Source organism: Homo sapiens, chromosome 11 (assembly GCF_000001405.40).
Source record: "Homo sapiens chromosome 11, GRCh38.p14 Primary Assembly".
In the NCBI taxonomy this organism is placed as follows: domain Eukaryota; kingdom Metazoa; phylum Chordata; class Mammalia; order Primates; family Hominidae; genus Homo; species Homo sapiens.
Window position 1 is genome coordinate 110,194,817 of NC_000011.10, and position 20,934 is coordinate 110,215,750.

Genomic DNA, 20,934 nt, shown 5'->3' on the forward strand with positions numbered 1-20,934 from the left:
AACATCAGTGACAGATGGAAAATCCTATGTCATGTTGGCATATTTTGTGGGGTTTTTCAGAAAATCTTTAAGGGGTAACTTCGTGCCCAGCAGATACCTGTCAAATAATCACAGCACAACATGCTCTTGAAGGCTGTAAGAGTGACTTTTTTGGTTGTTTTTTGTTTTGTTTTGTTTTGTTTTGTTTTGTTTGAGACAGGATCTCGCTTTGTCGTCCAGGCTGGAGCGCAGTGGTGCGATCTCAGCTCACTGCAACCTCCACCTCCCGGGTTCAAGCGATTCTCCTGCCTCAGCCTCCCGAGTAGCTGGGATTACAGGCACACACCACCATGCCCAGGGGGGTTTCACCAAGTTGGCCAGGATGGTCTCGCTCTCTTGACCTCGTGACCCATCCACCTCAGCCTCCCAAAGTGCTGGGATTACAGACGTGAGCCACCGTGCCCAGCCAGAGTGACTGTTAATGCAGCTGACTCATGTCACAAACTGTCACCCAATCCTCTAAGCTTCGGTCCTTGGACATTCAAAACACCTCAAAGTGCCAGGACTAGTGCCATCTTATGAATTAATAATGCTGCTTCACATCCCAGCTCTGCCACTGAACTCTCCTCAACCCTCTTTCTCCAAACACTGGCCAGGTCCGAAGTAACTGAAATCAGAGAAGATGGGAACCTGAGATGGGGCAGGCAAGCAATATTCACCGCCTACCACCAGGATGCAGAATCAAGTGCGCAGTAAGGCTCAGGCTGATGTTAGAATATATTTATTGCTACATTTATATACAATTATACAAACAGCCCAGACAGGAAAGAAATGTTGCATCGATTTCTGCAGATTCCACCAACATGTGCACAGAAATGGAGCTGTTCACCACTGAGTTTGCTCTTGGATTGAAGCCAAATATAAGTCACATACATTTTTTGAAAAAGTGGGAAATTCTTGGAAATCCTGTCCATAGATTCTTCCTTACAAGCTAGTCATGCAGAAAAAAGTGGGTTCTCATAAGCTGATGCCTTCCAGCATGTTTGGGGGATAGAGTCCTGAAGATGGGGTGCAGTAGATGCTGGCTTGGGACTGCAGGGTGCTGTGCGAAGTCCCAAGTCCTGGCCCATCTTGCTAAGGTCTGTCTTTAGGAAAGGCAATTGAGAGGGGTCTGGAGAGAAAGAGAATAGCAAGAAAGGGAAATCCAACAGTAAACTGAGAAGAGGAGAGAACCATGAGCCAGGGCCCTGGGTAATGGAATACTGGTCCATCCAGTTCCAGCTGAGATTGCAGACTTTGGGGGATATACACATTCAGAACACCAGGTATGTCCTTATCCTAAAGCTTCCCATAAGTCAGTAGCCAGGGGCCTGCATGAAGACACAGAAAGTGAATAGGAAAGTCAGGCAAGAAAGAAGAAAACTCAACTTGAACACTCGTATTATCAACATTCAGTTGAAAAGGCATGACCCTGAATGTCTTTGCACATTTTGTAAGTTAACATTTAGTCATGGTTAGTTGATGGTTGAGTGATGAAGGGGAATGGAATGCCAGTGAGGAAATGTAATGATGTACAGATTGTATCAAAATAAAGGTGCGTCCACAAACTCTACACTCTGACCTCAGCCTGGTTAGAATTACTTTTGGCCTCAAAAGGAGTCTCACATATAGATTTTGCAATGTTCTGATCCAGAATTATGATGTGGATATAAGATGACGGTATAAACACTCTCTCTTTCATGTCACAGTCACATACACCTTAGTGACGTGAATCCCAAGAGAAATTGTTGAGCAGCCACAGGGCGTGTGTGCTTAGGGAATGAGTTCACCTTATTTACACCAGCTCCGTCTGACCCACCTCAGGCCCCTTCCCAACTCAGGAATCCAGGAGGGAGGACCTGCAGATTGGGTTTACTCTGGCCTCCTCAGCTAAAATCAGCTCAGAGCCTCAGAGAAAGGTCTGAAGGTTGAGAAAAAAGGCCCATGACTCTAAATACACCAGACTGTGCCAGGCTTTGGGGTTGATTAGTAATTTGGGTACAGTCTGGTCCCAAGGCTGTAGGGGTCCTATTCATGTGGAAACCAGTCAGTTCTATCTTGTTCATGGCTTATTTTATTTTTGAGACAGGGTCGCGCTCTGCCACCCAGGCTGGAGTGCAGGGGTGTGATCTTGGCTCACTGCAGCCTCGACCTCCTGGGCTTAAGCAATTCTCCCACCTCAGCCTCCCGAGTAGCTGGGATCACAGGCATGTGCCACTATGCTCAGATAACTTTTTGTATTTTTTGGAGAGCCAGGGTTTTGCCATGTTGCCCAGGCTGGTCTCAAACTCCTGAGTTCATTCAACCCACCTGTCTCAGCCTCCAAATGTGCTGGGATTACAGGCACGAGCCATAGCGCCTGGCCTGTGCATGGCTTTAGATGTCACGTTTAATTCCTTAATGTCACCATAATCCTACAGGCCCCTAGTCACGAGGAAGATAGGATGACAGTGCTGTGGAGAAGCCCTGGGGGCAGTGGGAGACGGACCAGAACATCACTCAAGAGTCCCTGTTCTTTCTCTTGGGTCAATAATTTTATAATCAACTATGGAGAGGCCCAGCAGTTCTTCCAAGGGTGCCAACTATGTGACACCTCAAGCTGGAGGATGTGGCAATCACCAACTCTGTGGATCCCTTCATAAATTCATGTCTAGATAATTCAAAATCTCTTTCTGTCATTTGATCTTGACTTTTCATGCAGAAACTTTCTTTTCCTACTTCTGACGACAATAGCTCAGAGTCAAACTCACTCAAAGGATTTGCTCTAAAAAGAACATTAACAGATGAAAATCAAGGAGGAAAAATCATAAAAGATCAGGTAGATTTTACTTTGGGGAGTTTTACGAGTTGACAAAATGGAAAGAGTTACATGAATGAATTTCTGCACTGGAAGAAATGGCTAAAGATAAATAGCTAAGAAGAGTATTGTTTGCGGCAATCTATGGCACATTAAGAATGTGCTTTAACCCAGGATTTTAGCTCAAATATCAGAAATAAGACCAGCTGGATTCTCAGCTAGACCCGTTTCAAAGAGAGTGAGAGCAAATGATGATGGATGTGTCGTAGCATTTCAAGTGGACTTTGAAACAATGAAAGTGTTTTGGTAGTGTCATGAAATATCAGAGAGAATCTTGCACGACCTTAAACTCATTTCAGGGCAGGCCAAATTCAAGGCCAAAGAAGCAAATTGCTTCTAAAAGTTCCCCACCTTAAATGAACACATGTGACCATTTTTTTGTCACATAAATAAGTCTAAAACATAATATTTCTATAAAGAACATTGGTTCTACATCTTTAAATATTATCTCAAATATATTGACCTTTAGCTAGAAGGAGGTTTAGAGAACTTTGGGAGGCTTAATCAGCAAGTTGGGGGAACTCAAGATTTACAACATAAACAACATTGTTGTGGTTTTATTCACAAATGGGATGAGTCAAATAGTCTCTGCCAAAAAAAAAAAGAATTTAAAAACCTGTTATCATGGTAATCATATTGAAAAATGATTTTTAAATATTACCAAATTCAGGTCAGTACATAATACTATATTAACCTAGCTTATTAACCAATTCTTTAATTCTTCTGCTCCAGGAATCCCCAATCCCTGGGCCGAGGACCAGTACCGGCGTGTGGCCTGTTAGGAACTGGGTGGCATAGCAAAAGCTGAGTGGTGAACAAGCATTATGGCCTGAGCGCCGCCTCTTGTCAGATCAGCAGCAGCATTAGATTCTCAAAGGAGCGAACCCTATTGTGAATTGTGCATGCGAGGGTTCCACGTTGCACGCTCCTTTATGGGAATCTAATGCCTCATGATTTGAGGTGGAACAGTTTCACCCCAAAACCATCCCCTCCACCCCCCAACCCCACTCCCAGCCCATGGAAAATTTGTCTTCCATGAAACCAGTCCTTGGTGCAAAAAGGTTGGGGGCCACTGTTCTACTCAATGTGCATGTACAAAACTTCATTTTTAAGTAAATCTGAATACGTCTTTTTTTTTTTTTTTGAGACGGAGTCTCGCTGTCATCCAGGATGGAGTGCAGTGGTGCCATCTCGGCTCACTGCAACCTGTGCCTCCTGGATTCAAGCAATTCTTCTGCCTTAGCCTCCGAAGTAGCTGGGACTACAGGCATGCACCACCACTCCTAATTTTTTTTGTATTTTTAGTAGAGACGGGGTTTCACCATGTTGGCCAGGCTAGTCTCGAACTCCTGACCTCAGGTGATCCACCTGCCTCCACCTCTGAAAGTGCTGGGATTATAGGCATGAGCTACCGCACCAGGCCTGAATATGGATTTTTTAAAAAGAAGAAAAACCTCCCAGCAGAACAGAAGTGTCATAAGAGAACTTGCACCATAATACTTTCATTCTCAATGCTAGAGAGGGCTCTTTCTAAAGGTAAGAGAATCCCCTAAAGTAGGAGGTCCAATCAGCTCACCAAGATTACAGGTAAAACATCATTTTAATAAATTCTAGCTCACCTCAAAATTATTAAATTGGAGGATGATGTTCTTGATTGGCAAAGAGCCCAAGAGATGCAAACTATTGGGAAAGAACCTGGAAGGGATGGAATCAGAGGCTGTAAAGATAGAGGTTGCTCTTGGTCAGTTCCTTTGACTTGAAATCCACAGGTCCTGTGGATGAACAGGTTCAGATTTTATGAGGTCCCACCAGCATCCTGGCAGTGGAAGGTGTGGCAGGTCTAGTGGGCAGGTGAGCTGGCCCTGGCCACGGCTGCCAGTTGTACTTACCTAGTGAGGGAGGGAGCCTTCTTCCTAAGGGTTACATTTGCTTTATGCTGCTTTGGCAAGAGCGCATCTGGAACAATGCATACAGTTTGGGTCCCCACCTTTCAAAAGAGACATTAAGAGATTAGAAAGCATTTAGCAAAAGAACACAGTAGGAAGCTGAATGGGCAGGCTGACTACTTGCTCAGCACATTGCAACATCAGGGCGCTCTTGTCAGCCTGGATTATGTAGGGCCTGTTATTGTCAAACTGTCTGCCTAATCTTTAACCTCTTTTTTTTTCCAGTCCACCTTTGAAACTCCACGATTAGAATGTGGAAATAAGAATAACTTTAAACCTTCCTTTTAAATAGATGCTAGACTTCAAATAGTGCAGCAACTCTACACAAGCTAACTAGTCTCTTTCAATAATAAGACCTATTATTTAGAATAGTAGGTCTTGTCTTAAAGCCATAAAAATCAGAACTTCATGTCATTCAGTAATGTGTTCTACCAGATTTTATATTTTATGTGAAGTTCTCTTTTGATTAACCGAGGCATTGTTAAAGTTATTTTCAGGTAGCAACCAGACTAATGGATCCAAAATACTTTATAGTGCCTACTCTGAAATCAATAGTTGCTATGTTTTTGAATAAGCAAATTCTCAGTACCTGCCTACTAAAAGACTGGATAGGTTAAGACAAACAAACCATGAAAACTACCTCCTCTGCAGACACGTTGGCATTGCCGGAATTAAAGAGGTCAATTTCAGCCCTACTCTCTCTGGTCTGTCTTCCTCAGCTGACTCACCTGCCATTCTCCGATATATCCCTTAGAGATAAAACAAAGTCAGAATTAACTTGACAAAGAAACTGCTAAACTGGCCAAACGTATCCATGAGTCAGTTCCCTGACTGGGGAGAATACTGGTTACAGTATTTTCTAACCTTGTGGGTAAAACAATTAGAAATGCAGTTACTAGCAATCTCTATCTTACGAATGAGTTATGAACCAAAAGGGCAGCTGTGGTGGGCTGTTTCCCATGGAAACCACGTCATGAAGAGTGATTTTGTTTCTAGGCAGTTTAACCCATAATGAAAAGCTGAGTCTTTGCAGTAAAATACAGTAGAAACTCCAAATTTGTCAAAGATTGTAATAAAGGAACATAGAAACAATGACATTTATTAATGGTTTTATAATTCTTCTTTAATACTTGAGCTTGATGTTAACCTGGCCAGAAATAATTCGATGGTTCAATAGTACCTGAAATTTAAGAACATTTTAAAGGGAATTCTAACTATTTTCAAAGACTTTGAAGGTTAGTCTGGCTGGCACTTTATTGTATGACATGCCATTTCAGGCTGAGTAATTCCAGCACTTTGGGAGGCCGAGGCAGAGATCACCTGAGGTCGGGAGTTCGAAACCAGCCTGACCAACATAGAGAAATCCTGTCTCTACTAAAAATAAGAAAATTAACCGCGCATGGTGGCGCATGCCTGTAATCACAGCTACTCAGGAGGCTGAGGTAGGAGAATCGCTTGAACCTGGGAGTTGGAGGTTACGGTGAGCCAAGATCGGGCCATTACACTCCAGCCTGGGCAAGAAGAGCAAAACTCCCGTCTCAAAAAAAAAAAAAAAAAAAAAGAAATGTCATTTCAAAATGTATAGCTGTAGTTTTTCCATAGTCACTAGTAATATTATTCTCACTGTGATTAACTAGTAGTACTATTTATGTAGATTTAGACTCATAAAGGAGCAGAGAGAGCAAAGGAAGAGAATTATTTTTCATGAAAATAATGAGAAAATTTAGGAGAGCATGAGAAAGGAGGATTTGGGAGTAAAGTTAATAGATGAAAGGCACAAGAGAGGGAATAGAACTGAAGGAGAAAACTGCATGTATGAGTTTCCCTAACAGGGAAAGAAAGGTGAAGAGACGTCAGAAATTTCCAAGCTTTGCCACCAGGTGGCGGCATGAGATTAGATGACAGTATTTTAGCTGAAGGCAGCAGCAACTGAAGGGTAGTGAGGGTGAGATACATAAAAATCACATGAGCTGGATATTCACAACACAGGAGGCTCAGGATTTGTGAAGCGGTAAGCCATGGGTTAGAATATATATCAAGTTATAGCAAGAATATATATTAAATTATGTGTTAGAATATATAATAAGGGACGCAAACCTAGTTGAACTTATTTTTTAAGATGTTGTCTCCCTCTGTCACCCAGGCTGGAGTGCAATGGCGCCGTCTTGGCTCACTGCAACCTCTGCCTCCAGGATTCCAGCGATTCCTGTCTCAGCTTCCCAGGTAGCTGGGATTACAGACACATGCCACCACATCCGGCTAATTTTGTGTGTGTGTGTGTGTGTGTGTGTGTGTGTGTGTGTGTGTGTGTGTGTGTGTTTTCAGTAGAGTTAAGGTTTCCCCATGTTGGCTAGGCTGCTCTCAAACTCCTGACTTAGGTAATCCGCCCGCCTTGGCCTCCCAAAGTTCTGGGATTACAGGTATGAGCCACTGCGCCCGGCCTAGTTTAACACTTTAAAGAATCTATTTATCTAGTACAGGCCATGGCTCACACCTGTAATCCCAGCACTTTGGCAGGCTGAGGCCAGGGGTTGATCACCTGAGGTCAGGAGTTTGAGACCAGCCTGGCCAACATGGGGAAACGCCATCTCTACTAAAAATACAAAAATTACCCGAGCGTGGTGGCCTGCACCTGTAGTCCCAGCTACTCTGGAGGCTGAGACAGGAATCGCTTGAACCCTGGAGGCAGAGGCTGCAGTGAGCCAAGATCATGCCACTCACATTCCAGCCTGGGCAAGAGAGCAAGACTTCATCTAAAAAAAAAAATCTGTCTAGTTTAGTATATTAACATTTTTCTTTTAGACAGGGTTTTGCTCTGTCCTCCAAACTGGAGTGCAGTGACATGATCATGGTTTACTGAAGCCTCAACATCCCAGGCACAAGCAATCCTCCCACCTTAGCCTCTCGAGAAGCTGGGACCACATGTGTGCTTCACTACACCTGGCTAATTTTTCTTTCTTTTTTTTTTTTTTTTTTGGTTGGGGAGGGTGGGACATGAGGTCTCACTATGTTGCCCAGGCTGGTCTTGATCTCCTGGGCTCAAGCAATCCTCCTGGGATTACAAGCATGAGCTGCTGCACTCAGCCAACAGTTTTTTTTTTAAAAGTAAAGACATACAAATGGCAGCAGATATATGAAAAGGTGCTCAACATCATTGAGCATCAGAGAAATGCAAACCAAAACTGCAATGAGATAATCATCTTACCCCAGTTAAGATGGCTTTTATCCTATTAAGACAGGTAATAACAAATGCTGGTGAGGATGTGAAGAAAAGGGAACCTTTGTACACTGTTGGTGAGACTGTAAATTAGTACAACCACTATAGAGAACAGTATGGAGCTACCATATGATCCAGCAACCCCACTACTGTGTATATACCCCCCAAAAAGAAAATCATTATATCAAAAAGATACCTGCACTCCCATATTAACTGCAACACTACTCACAATAGCCAAGATTTGGAAGCAACCTAAGTGTCCATCAACAGATGAATGGATAAAGAAAATGTGGTACTTGCATACAATGGAGTACTATTCAGCCATAAAGAATAATGAGATCCTGTCATTTGCAACTACATGGATGGAACTGGAGATGGCTAATGTTAAGTTAAATAAGCCAAGCACAGAAGGACAAAAATTGTATGTTCTCACTGATTTGTGGGATCTAAAAATAAAAATAATTAAACTCATGGAGATAGAGAGTAAAAGGATGGTTACCAGAGGGTAAGAAGGGTAGTGGGGAAGCAGGAGGTTGGGAGGTGAGAATTGTTAATGGGTAAAAAAAAAAAAAAAAAAAGTAGAAAGAATGAATAAGACCTAGTATTTGACAGCACAAGGTGACTATAATCAATAATAATTTAATTGTACATTTAAAAATAACTAAAAGGGTATAATTAGATTATTTGTAACACAAAGGAGAAAAGCTTGAGGGGATGGATACCCCATTTTCCATATGTGATTATTACACATTGCATGCTTGTATCAAAATATCTCATGTCCCCCATAAATATATACTTATGTGCCCACAAAAATTAAAAATAAATTTTTTAAATAAAATTTTTAGTAGCATCATCTACAAAAAAGTTTTAAAAATTAAAAAATTAAAGTACACACACACGGTTGGTTACCTCAATATACTCAGAAATTGCGTTTAATAAATTTAAAACCCTCTTTTTATTTAAAAAGAAAAAACTCTTAGAAAAATATGTATATGTATGTAAAAGGAAGTTTCATAAATCTGATAAAAGTCATATACTAAAAATTAGGCTGGTGCCATGTGCCTATAGTCCCAGCTATTCAGGGGGCTGAGGTGGGAGGATCACTTGAGCCTGGGAAATGGAGGGTGCAGTGAGCCAAGATAACGCCACTGCACTCCAGCCTGAGTGACAGAGTGAGACCCCATCTCAAACAAGAAAAGAAATGAGACACCACTTATGTTCCACATGGGACTGGAAATTGCAGCCAGTCAACTCAGTAAGAAACAGAATAAAAGTTTTATGGATGGAGAAGACTGAAAACTATAATTATTTGCAGAAAATGAAGAAAGTCTGTGTAGAAAGCCCAAAAGACTTCACAAATTATTAGAAACGGTGAGAATGAAACAAGGTTCCTTAATTTAAGGTCAGCAAAAAAAAAAAAAAATCAACTGCATTCTCTACACCAGCCAGAAATAGTTTTCAAATGTAACTCTGAAAATGACAGCAAAAAGATGATTAATAATAAATCTAACAAAATAAATACATGATCTTAATGCAAAAATTTAAACAACTTTACTGAATGGCATCAAGGAAGACTTGGTGGAAAGACACTGCATATTCATGATTAGGAATGCTTAATATTGTACAGCTGTAATTACTTTTCTTTCTTTTTTTTTTTTCCTTTTTTTTTTTTTTTTTTTGAGACAGAGTTTCACTCTTCTTGCCCAGGCTGGAGTGCAATGGCGCAAACTCGGCTCACTGCAACTTCCGCCTCCCGGGTTCAAGCGATTCTCCTGCCTCAGCCTCCCGAGTAGCTGCGATTACAGGCACACGCCACCATGCCCGGTTAATTTTTGTATTTGTAGTAGAGACGGGGCTTTACCATGTTGGTCAGGCTGGTCTCGATCTCCTGACCTCGTGATCTGCCTGCCTTGGCCTCCCAAAGTGCTGGGATTACAGGCGTGAGCTACCGTGCCCGGCCGTACAGCTGTAATTTCTTACCAAATTAATCTGTTAATACATTTCCAAGCAAAAGTCCCCAAAGTATTTTTTCCCATACAGGTTACACGAATTTATGCAGAAGAACAAAGAACCAAAACTAGTCAGGAGCCTATTTTACAAACAAGGTGTAGCAACTTTTTAAGAAAGCTCAACCAGATATCAAGACTTGTTAAAAAGCAAAGGCTGTAGTAATTAAGACAGAATAGTATTGACACAGGGATAGAAACACTGACCAATGCAACAGATGAGAGTATAACAGAACAGAGGAAGAAATATGAAAGAAATGGCAATGGGATCAATAGGAAAAGGATGAACTGTTAAATAAAGTATCAAGACAACTAGTCATCTAGACAAAAAAATAAAATAAAATTGGATCCATACTTCATACCATGCACAAAAGTTATTTATAGCTGGACTAAAGATTTAAATGTAAAAATAACCAAACTTTTAGATGAAAATATAGGAAAATATCTTCATGACATAAAGTGAGAGAATAATTTCTTAAAACAAGACACACACAAGAAAAAATCCCCACAAATTATGAGGAGAATAATTTATAAATTAAGCTACAAGAAATTGTAAAACGTTTACCTATCCAAAAAAAAAAAAAAAAAAAAACCACCATAAAAAGCCAAAGAGACAAGGTAAGCCATGGAAGGAAATCTCTCTAAAACATTTAAATGTCAAAAGATTAGTAACCACAATGGAAAGAAATTATCTGAATTAACTGGATCAAGATAAACAATCTAATAAAAAACAGGCAAAAAAAAAGTTATTTCAAAGAAAATGAAACATGAAAGGCCTTTAAAGAAAAATTATGTTATATTAGTAATTAACAAAATGCAAATTATTAATAAAAGCACAATGTCATCTTAAACCTATCAAATCGGCAGAAATTGAAAAGTTTAGTGATATGAAGTGTGGCGAAGATGTGGATATAGCCTTACTTTAGGAAACAATTGATGGTTACATAGTAAAGTTGAAGATGTGCATATTCCATAATGACAGACAACTCCCCTCCCTAGGTCTCTGCTGTAGAAATACTGTTGTGCTTATTCACTAGAAAACATGAATAGAAGACAAAAATATCTGTGGCTATATTGTTTAAAGATTTTAAAAAATACTCGTAACAATCCTATAGCCAGACGCAGTGGCTCATGCCTGTAATCCCAGCACTTTGGGAGACCAAGACTGGTGGATTACTTGATGTCAGGAGTTCAAAACCAGCCTGGCCAAAATGGTGAAACCCTGTCTCTACTAAAAATAAAAAAAATTAGCTGGGTGTGGTGGTGGGTCCCCGTAATCCCAGCTGCTTGGGAGGCTGCAGCAGGAGAATTGCTTGAACCCAGGAGGCAGAGGTTGCAGTGAGCCAAGATCATGCCATTGCACCCCAGCCTGGACGACAGAGTGAGAGTCCATCTCAAAAAAAAAAAAAAAAAAATACTGGTAACAATCCAAATGTCCACCATTGGGGGAACTGATAAATTGTAGTGCACTCATAAAATAAATACAGCAGTGAAAATGAACCACAGCTATATTCATCAAAATGGATGTGCATGTGTGTGTAATAAAATTATGTTTTGAGAACTTCATCACGAATTACAAAAAAAAAACTAGTTGTATAAAGTTCATGTGTGGGCAAAACTAGACATTATATTGTTGTAGATACAAACACAGATAGTAAAAGCTAAGAAACGGATGACGTGATGGAGAGGAACATGCAGTGCCAGTTACTGGCAACATACTATTTTTCAAACTGATACATGAGTATCTAATATATATACATATATTCCATCATTTATATTTCTACTAGATGCATTTCATTCTCTAATACTGTTATAAATGAATCTCTAGTTTTTAAGTGTTTAAAAACAGAAAGTAATGAAGGAAAAATACTACAATAGATGGGGAAGTTATGAATTTTGTTCCAAATATCTTTGGTCTTTGAGCCATTCGAATTTCAAAGGTCTCAAAGAAACTATGTAGAAGTCAATAGTTACTCTAAGGACACTGAGTAAAAGAAGCAACTGTGTTATTTCCACAGTATTGGGTTGGAGTGAGACCCAAACGAGCAATTCTCAAAGTGTGGTCCCAAAACAGCAGCATCAGACTCACCTTTAAAACACGCAATTATTTTATTTTATTTTATTTTTTTTGTGGCATGGTCTCGCTCTGTTGCCCAGGCTGGAGTGCAGTGGCATGATCTCAGCTCACTGTAACCTCCACCTCCTGAGGTTCAGCCAATTCTCAAGCCTCAGCCCCCCTAGTAGCCAGGATTACAGGTGTGCACTACCATGCCCAACTAAGTTTTGTATTTTTGGTAGAGACAGTGTTTCACCACGTTAGCCAGGCTGGTCTCGAACTCCTGGCCTCAAGTGATCCGCCCGCCTCAGCCTTCCAACATGCTGGGATTACAGGCCTGAGCCACCGCACCTGGCCATAAATGCACATTCTTGAGCAGCTGCATAGATCTACTGAATGTGAAACCTGAGGAGGGCACCCTGCAATCTGTGTTTTAACAAGCCCTCCAAGTGATTCTGATGCACGCTAGTGTGAGAACCACTGCCAAAAGTTGTTCAAGTATCTAAGAAATCCCTTCATTATAACAAAATAAGACCTCCCTAGGGTCACATCAAAATATTAATAGTCATCCAGACAGAAAGACACAGCACTGGCCCTTAGGAGAACATTAGTTTTTAAAAACCTTTAACTCAGGAGGCTCGTTGGCCAAACCCAGCTTCCCATCTGTTTTTGTACAGAATGTGATTTAAGAATGTTTTTTACCTTTTTTTTTTAAACAAATCAGAGGAAGAATATTTTGTGACACATGAATTGTATGAAATTCAGAGTTAAGTGTCCATAAATAAAATTTTATGGGAACACAAACATGCTCATTATTTACATATAGCTGCTTATGCACTACAACAGCAGAGTTGTATAGCTGGGACAGAGACAACTGGCCTGCAAAGTCCAAAATGTTTAGTATCTGGGCCTTTTCATAAAGATCATTTGCCCTATTTGCTCTAATTTGATAGAATCTACTAGTCTAAAAGCAAAATATAATTACAGTAATTTTCTGTTGAAAACGCAATTTTCATTTTAATTACACACAGGCAAAAATCTAATAAAGAATCATAAGGAAGTTGAATCAGATTTTTTTTTTTTTTTTAATAGAGACGGGGCACCATATTGCCCAGGCTGGTCTCAAACTCCTGGGCTCAGGTGGTCTCCCGCCTTGGCCTACCAAAGTGCTGGGGTTACAGGCATGAGCCACCATGCCCGGCCCAGATCTATTTTTATCTACAAAGCCATTCAAATAACCCACACAGAGCATCTGAAAAATGTTACTAACGCTTTCTCTCTTCAAATTTCTAATAAATGACAAAGAATTGCACAAAGAATTGACTGGTACATTTCAATGAAATACTCATTCAGTTCTGAAAACGAATGTAGCGTTCTCCTCTGGCATTTATTCGGGAGGTTAACTCAAACTATAAGCCTGTCTCAAATGCTGCCTGATAACTTCATTTTTCAGCTCTCACAGTGGCCACCCTCCTCGCTGGCTCTCTTCTACATGCTAAAACTCACCAAGAGCCTTCTTCCCTTTGATCCTCAACCTCGAATTTTCTCCAGACTGAGTTCAGTTCTTATCACTGAAGACTTGCTCACTGAGTTCCTGAATTATTTTATTCAACACCTATTGGGTGGCTTAAAAAGCCTTCTATCCACATCCATCTTCACTTCTCCAATTTCAACTTTCCTCTAGATTTTGAATATTTCTTGAGCACAGACTCTTCTTTGATTTCTAGGGCTTTAACAATCATTTATTAATTTAAAAAAATAGCCAGGTGTGGAGGTTAACGCCTATAATCCCAACACTTTGGGAGGCTGTCAGGCGGATCACTTGAGGCCAGGAGTTCAAGACCACCCTGGCCAACATGATGAAACCCCTTCTCTATAAAAATACAAAAATTACCTGGGGGTAGTGGCGGCCACCTGTAATCACAGCTACTCCGGAGGCTGAGGCAGAAGAATCATTTGAACCCAGGAGGCAGAGGTTGCATTGAGCAGAGATCACGTCATTACACTCTAGCCTGGGCAACAAGAGCAAAACTCTGTCTCAAAGTAATACTTTTAAAAAATATAATGCGGAAGATGGCCGAATAGGAACAGCTCCGGTCTACAGCTCCCAGCGTGAGCGACGCAGAAGACGGGTGATTTCTGCATTTCCATCTGAGGTACCGGGTTCATCTCACTAGGGAGTGCCAGAGAGTGGGCACAGGTCAGTGGATGCGCGCACCGTGCGCGAGCTGAAGCAGGGCGAGGCATTGCCTCACTTGGGAAGCCCAAGAGGTCAGGGAGTTCCCTTTCTGAGTCAAAGAAAGGGGTGACGGACGGCACCTGGAAAATCGGGTCACTCCCACCCGAATACTGCGCTTTTCCGACGGGCTTAAAAAACGGCGCACCACGAGATTATATCCGGCACCTGGCTCGGAGGGTCCTACGCCCACGGAGTCTCGCTGATTGCTAGCATAGCAGTCTGAGATCAAACTGCAAGGCGGCAGCGAGGCTGGGGGAGGGGCGCCCGCCATTGCCCAGGCTTGATTAGGTAAACAAAGCAGCCGGGAAGCTCGAACTGGGTGGAGCCCACCACAGCTCAAGGAGGACTGCCTGCCTCTGTAGGCAGCACCCTGGGGGCAGGGCACAGACAAACAAAAAGACAGCAGTAACCTCTGCAGACTTAAATGTCCCTGTCTGACAGCTTTGAAGAGAGCAGTGGTTCTCCCAGCACGCAGCTGGAGATCTGAGAACGGGCAGACTGCCTCCTCAAGTGGGTCCCTGACCCCTGACCCCCGAGCAGCCTAACTGGGAGGCACCCCCCAGCAGGGGCACACTGACACCTCACACAGCAGGGTACTCCAACAGACCTGCAGCTGAGGGTCCTCTCTGTTAGAAGGAAAACTAACAAACAGAAAGGACATCCACACCAAAAACCCATCTGTACATCACCATCATCAAAGACCAAAAGTAGATAAAACCGCAAAGATGGGGAAAAAACAGAACAGAAAAACTGGAAACTCTAAAAAGCAGAGTGCCTCTCCTCCTCCAAAGGAACGCAGTTCCTCACCAGCAACGGAACAAAGCTGGATGGAGAATGACTTTGACGAGCTGAGAGAAGAAGGCTTCAGACGATCAAATTACTCTGAGCTACGGGAGGACATTCAAACCAAAGGCAAAGAAGTTGAAAACTTTGAAAAAAATTTAGAAGAATGTATAACTAGAATAACCAATACAGAGAAGTGCTTAAAGGAGCTGATGGAGCTGAAAACCAAGGCTCGAGAACTACGTGAAGAATGCAGAAGCCTCAGGAGCCGATGCAATCAACTGGAAGAAAGGGTATCAGCCATGGAAGATGAAATGAATGAAATGAAGCGAGAAGGGAAGTTTAGAGAAAAAAAGAATAAAAAGAAATGAGCAAAGCCTCCAAGAAATATGGGACTATGTGAAAAGACCAAATCTACATCTGATTGGTGTACCTGAAAGTGATGGGGAGAATGGAACCAAGTTGGAAAACACTCTGCAGGATATTATCCAGGAGAACTTCCCCAATCTAGCAAGGCAGGCCAACATTCAGATTCAGGAAATACAGAGAACACCACAAAGATACTCCTCGAGAAGAGCAACTCCAAGACACATAATTGTCAGATTCACCAAAGCTGAAATGAAGGAAAAAATGTTAAGGGCAGCCAGAGAGAAAGGTCGGGTTACCCTCAAAGGGAAGCCCATCAGACTAACAGCGGATCTCTCGGCAGAAACCCTACAAGCCAGAAGAGAGTGGGGGCCAATATTCAACATTCTTAAAGAAAAGAATTTTCAACCCAGAATTTCATATCCAGCCAAATTAAGCTTCATAAGTGAAGGAGAAATAAAATACTTTACGGACAAGCAAATGCTGAGAGATTTTGTCACCACCAGGCCTGCCTTACAAGAGCTCCTGAAGGAAGCACTAAACATGGAAAGGAACAACCAGTACCAGCCATTGCAAAATCATGCCAAAATGTAAAGACCATCGAGACACTAGGAAGAAACTGCATCAACTAACGAGCAAAATAACCAGCTAACATCATAATGACAGGATCAAATTCACACATAACAATATTCACTTTAAATGTAAATGGACTAAATGATCCAATTAAAAGACACAGACTGGCAAATTGGATAAAGAGTCAAGACCCATCAGTGTGCTGTATCCAGGAAACCCAACTCATGTGCAGAGACACACATAGGCTCAAAATAAAAGGATGAAGATCTACCAAGCCAATGGAAAACAAAAAAAGGCAGGGGTTGCAATCCTAGTCTCTGATAAAACAGACTTTAAACCAACAAAGATCAAAAGAGACAAGGCCATTACATAATAGTAAAGGGATCAATTCAGCAAGAAGAGCTAACTATCCTAAATATATATGCACCCAATACAGGAGCACCAAGATTCATAAAGCAAGTCGTGAGTGACCTACAAAGAGACTTAGACTCCCACACATTAATAATGGGAGACTTTAACACCCCACTGTCAACATTAGACAGATCAACGAGACAGAAAGTCAACAAGGATACCCAGGAATTGAACTCAGCTCTGCACCAAGCAGACCTAATAGACATCTACAGAACTCTCCACCCCAAATCAACAGAATATACTTTTTTTTCAGCACCACACCACACCTATTCCAAAATTGACCACATACTGGGAAGTAAAGCTCTCCTCAGCAAATGTAAAAGAACAGAAATTATAACAAACTATCTCTCAGACCACAGTGCAATCAAACTAGAACTCAGGATTAAGAATCTCACTCAAAACCACTCAACTACATGGAAACTGAACAACCTGCTCCTGAATGACTACTGGGTACATAACGAAATGAAGGCAGAAATAAAGATGTTCTTTGAAACCAACGAGAACAAAGACACAACATACCAGAATCTGTGAGACGCATTCAAAGCAGTGTGTAGAGGGAAATTTATAGCACTAAATGCCCACAAGAGAAAGCAGGAAAGATCCAAAATTGACACCCTAACATCACAATTAAAACAACTAGAAAAGCAAGAGCAAACACATTCAAAAGCTAGCAGAAGGCAAGAAATAACTAAAATCAGAGCAGAACTGAAGGAAATAGAGACACAAAAAACCCTTCAAAAAATTAATGAATCCAGGAGCTGGTTTTTTGAAAGGATCAACAAAATTGATAGACCGCTAGCAAGACTAATAAAGAAAAAAAGAGAGAAGAATCAAATAGACGCAATAAAAAATGATAAAGGGGATATCACCACCGATCCCACAGAAATACAAACTACCATCAGAGAATACTACAAACACCTCTATGCAAATAAAATAGAAAATCTGGAAGAAATGGATAAATTCCTGGACACATACATTCTCCCAAGACTAAACCAGGAAGAAGTTGAATCTCTGAATAGACCAATAACAGGAGCTGAAATTGTGGCAATAATCAATAGCTTACCAACCAAAAAGAGTCCAGGACCAGATGGATTCACAGCCGAATTCTACCAGAGGTACAAGGAGGAACTGGTACCATTCCTTCTGAAACTATTCCAATCAATAGAAAAAGAGGGAATCCTCCCTAACTCATTTTATGAGGCCAGCATCATTCTGATACCAAAGCCGGGCAGAGACACAACCAAAAAAGAGAATTTTAGACCAATATCCTTGATGAACATTGATGCAAAAATCCTCAATAAAATACTGGCAAAACGAATCCAGCAGCACATCAAAAAGCTTATCCACCATGATCAAGTGGGCTTCATCCCTGGGATGCAAAGCTGGTTCAATATACGCAAATCAATAAATGTAATCCAGCATATAAACAGAGCCAAAGACAAAAACCACATGATTATCTCAATAGATGCAGAAAAAGCCTTTGACAAAATTCAACAACGCTTCATGCTAAAAACTCTCAATAAATTAGGTATTGATGGGATGTATTTCAAAATAATAAGAGCTATCTATGACAAACCCACAGCCAATATCATACTGAATGGGCAAAAACTGGAAGCATTCCCTTTGAAAACTGGCACAAGACAGGGATGCCCTCTCTCACCACTCCTATTCAACATAGTGTTGGAAGTTCTGGCCAGGGCAATTAGGCAGGAGAAGGAAATAAAGGGTATTCAATTAGGAAAAGAGGAAGTCAAATTGTCCCTGTTTGCAGACAACATGATTGTATATCTAGAAAACCCCATTGTCTCAGCCCCAAATCTCCTTAAGCTGATAAGCAACTTCAGCAAAGTCTCAGGATACAAAATCAATGTAGTACAAAAATCACAAGCATTCTTATACACCAACAACAGACAAACAGAGAGCCAAATCATGAGTGAACTCCCATTCACAATTGCTTCAAAGAAAATAAAATACCTAGGAATCCAACTTACAAGGGATGTGAAGGACCTCTTCAAGGAGAACTACAAACCACTGCTCAAGGAAATAAAAGAGGATACAAACAAATGGAAGAACATTCCATGCTCATGGGTAGGAAGAATCAATATTGTGAAAATGGCCATACTGCCCAAGGTAATTTACAGATTCAATGCCATCCCCATCAAGCTACCAATGACTTTCTTCACAGAATTGGAAAAAACTACTTTAAAGTTCATATGGAACCAAAAAAGAGCCCGCATCGCCAAGTCAATCCTAAGCCAAAAGAACAAAGCTGGAGGCATCACACTACCTGACTTCAAACTATACTACAAGGCTACAGTAACCAAAACAGCATGGTACTGGTACCAAAACAGAGATATAGATCAATGGAACAGAACAGAGCCCTCAGAAATAACGCCGCATATCTACAACTATCTGATCTTTGACAAACCTGAGAAAAACAAGCAATGGGGAAAGGATTCCCTATTTAATAAATGGTGCTGGGAAAACTGGCTAGCCATATGTAGAAAGCTGAAACTGGATCCCTTCCTTACACCTTATACAAAAATCAATTCAAGATGGATTAAAGACTTAAACGTTAGACCTAAAACCATAAAAACTCTAGAAGAAAACCTAGGCATTACCATTCAGGACATAGGCATGGGCAAGGACTTCATGTCTAAAACACCAAAAGCAATGGCAACAAAAGACAAAATTGACAAATGGGATCTAATTAAACTAAAGAGCTTCTGCACAGCAAAAGAAACTACCATCAGAGTGAACAGGCAACCTACAAAATGGGAGAAAATTTTCGCAACCTACTCATCTGACAAAGGGCTAATATCCAGAATCTACAATGAACTCAAACAAATTTACAAGAAAAAAACAAACAACCCCATCAAAAAGTGGGAGAAGGACGTGAACAGACACTTCTCAAAAGAAGACATTTATGCAGCCAAAAAACACATGAAAAAATGCTCATCATCACTGGCCATCAGAGAAATGCAAATCAAAACCACAATGAGATACCATCTCACACCAGTTAGAATGGCAATCATTAAAAAGTCAGGAAACAACAGGTGCTGGAGAGGATGTGGAGAAATAGGAACACTTTTACACTGTTGGTGGGACTGTAAACTAGTTCAACCATTGTGGAAGTCAGTGTGGCGATTCCTCAGGGATCTAGAATTGGAAATACCATTTGACCCAGCCATCCCATTACTGGGTATATACCCAAAGGACTATAAATCATGCTGCTATAAAGACACATGCACACGTATGTTTATTGCAGCATTATTCACAATAGCAAAGACTTGGAACCAACCCAAATGTCCAACAATGATAGACTGGATTAAGAAAATGTGGCACATATACACCATGGAATACTATGCAGCCATAAAAAATGATGAGTTCATGTCCTTTGTAGGGACATGGATGAAATTGGAAATCATCATTCTCAGTAAACTATCGCAAGAACAAAAAACCAAACACCACATATTCTCACTCATAGGTGGGAATTGAACAATGAGATCACATGGACACAGGAAGGGGAATATCACACTCTGGGGACTGTTGTGGGGTGGGGGGAGGGGGCAGGGATAGCATCGGGAGATATACCTAATGCTAGATGACAAGTTAGTGGGTGCAGCGCACCAGCATGGCACATGTATACATATGTAACTAACCTGCACAATGTGCACTTGTACCCTAAAACTTAAAGTATAATAAAAAAAAAATGAAAAAAATAAAAAAAACATTTAGGAGACCTAACAAAAAAAAAAAAAATATATATATATATATATATAATGCTTTCGGCTGGGTGCAGTGGCTTATGCCTGTGATCCCAGCACTTTGGAAGGCCGAGGTGGGCGGATCACGAGGTCAGGAGATCGAGACAATCCTGGCTAACATGGTGAAACCCTGCCTCTACTTAAAAAATACAAAACATTGGCCGGGCGTGATGGGTGGGCGCCTGTAGTCCCAGCTACTCAGGAGGCTGAGGCAGGAGAATGGCATGAACCCGGGAGGCAGAGGTTGCAGTGAGCTGAGATCGTGCCACTGAACTCCAGCCTGGGCAACAGAGCGAGACTCCATCTCAAAAAATAAATAAATAAATAAATAAATAAATAAATAAATAAATAAATAAAATAATAATAATGCTTTCCCTCCCCTACAAGAGTAAATCATATATTTCAACTTTAAATCTTTAAGCTATATTGACCTCATCTTGAAAACAGGAGCACTAAACTGGACAGACTAGAGTTACAAGCCCACATGCAGTGGTTCAAGGAGGTTGGTCTTCAATCTGGTGGGTTTGATCAGGTCACTACCACTCTGTATTCAAGTCGAACTTAAGATTTAAAGCAGTCTTCTTTGGCCTATAAGTCAATCAATACATTCACTTTGAGTTATGCAGACAAAATAATCCTTCCAAGAGCAAGTAAACATGTCTCAGTTGGCTTTAAACTGGAAAGGTCACATTTTG

At 41.0% G+C, this 20,934-nt stretch overlaps 1 protein-coding gene across 8 annotated transcripts in view, besides 1 other annotated feature; it reads right to left on the minus strand.

The window, feature by feature from the left end:
* Positions 1–20,934, minus strand: part of RDX (radixin) — a 121,693-nt gene that overhangs the window by 19,895 nt on the left and 80,864 nt on the right. For 4 of the 8 annotated variants that reach the window (NM_001440511.1, NM_001260495.2, NM_001260496.2 and 1 more), the window contains 2 exons: positions 4,765–4,862; positions 745–1,349 (listed from right to left, as the gene is read on the minus strand). In NM_001440511.1, coding sequence (NP_001427440.1) covers positions 4,796–4,862 — 67 coding nt within the window. In that variant the 3' untranslated portion in view covers positions 745–1,349; positions 4,765–4,795. Of the gene's footprint in view, positions 1–744; positions 1,350–4,456; positions 4,863–20,934 lie in introns of those variants that run through there. The other 4 variants (NM_001260493.2, NM_001440510.1, NM_001440505.1 and 1 more) reach the window with 2 other exon arrangements.
* Positions 5,448–5,742: a silencer, noted in NCBI's record as "tiled region #13162; HepG2 Repressive non-DNase unmatched - State 23:Low". NCBI's record gives its function as "represses a minimal TATA promoter and a strong SV40 promoter by Sharpr-MPRA in HepG2 cells {active_cell/tissue: HepG2}" and the evidence as "EXISTENCE:reporter gene assay evidence [ECO:0000049][PMID:27701403]".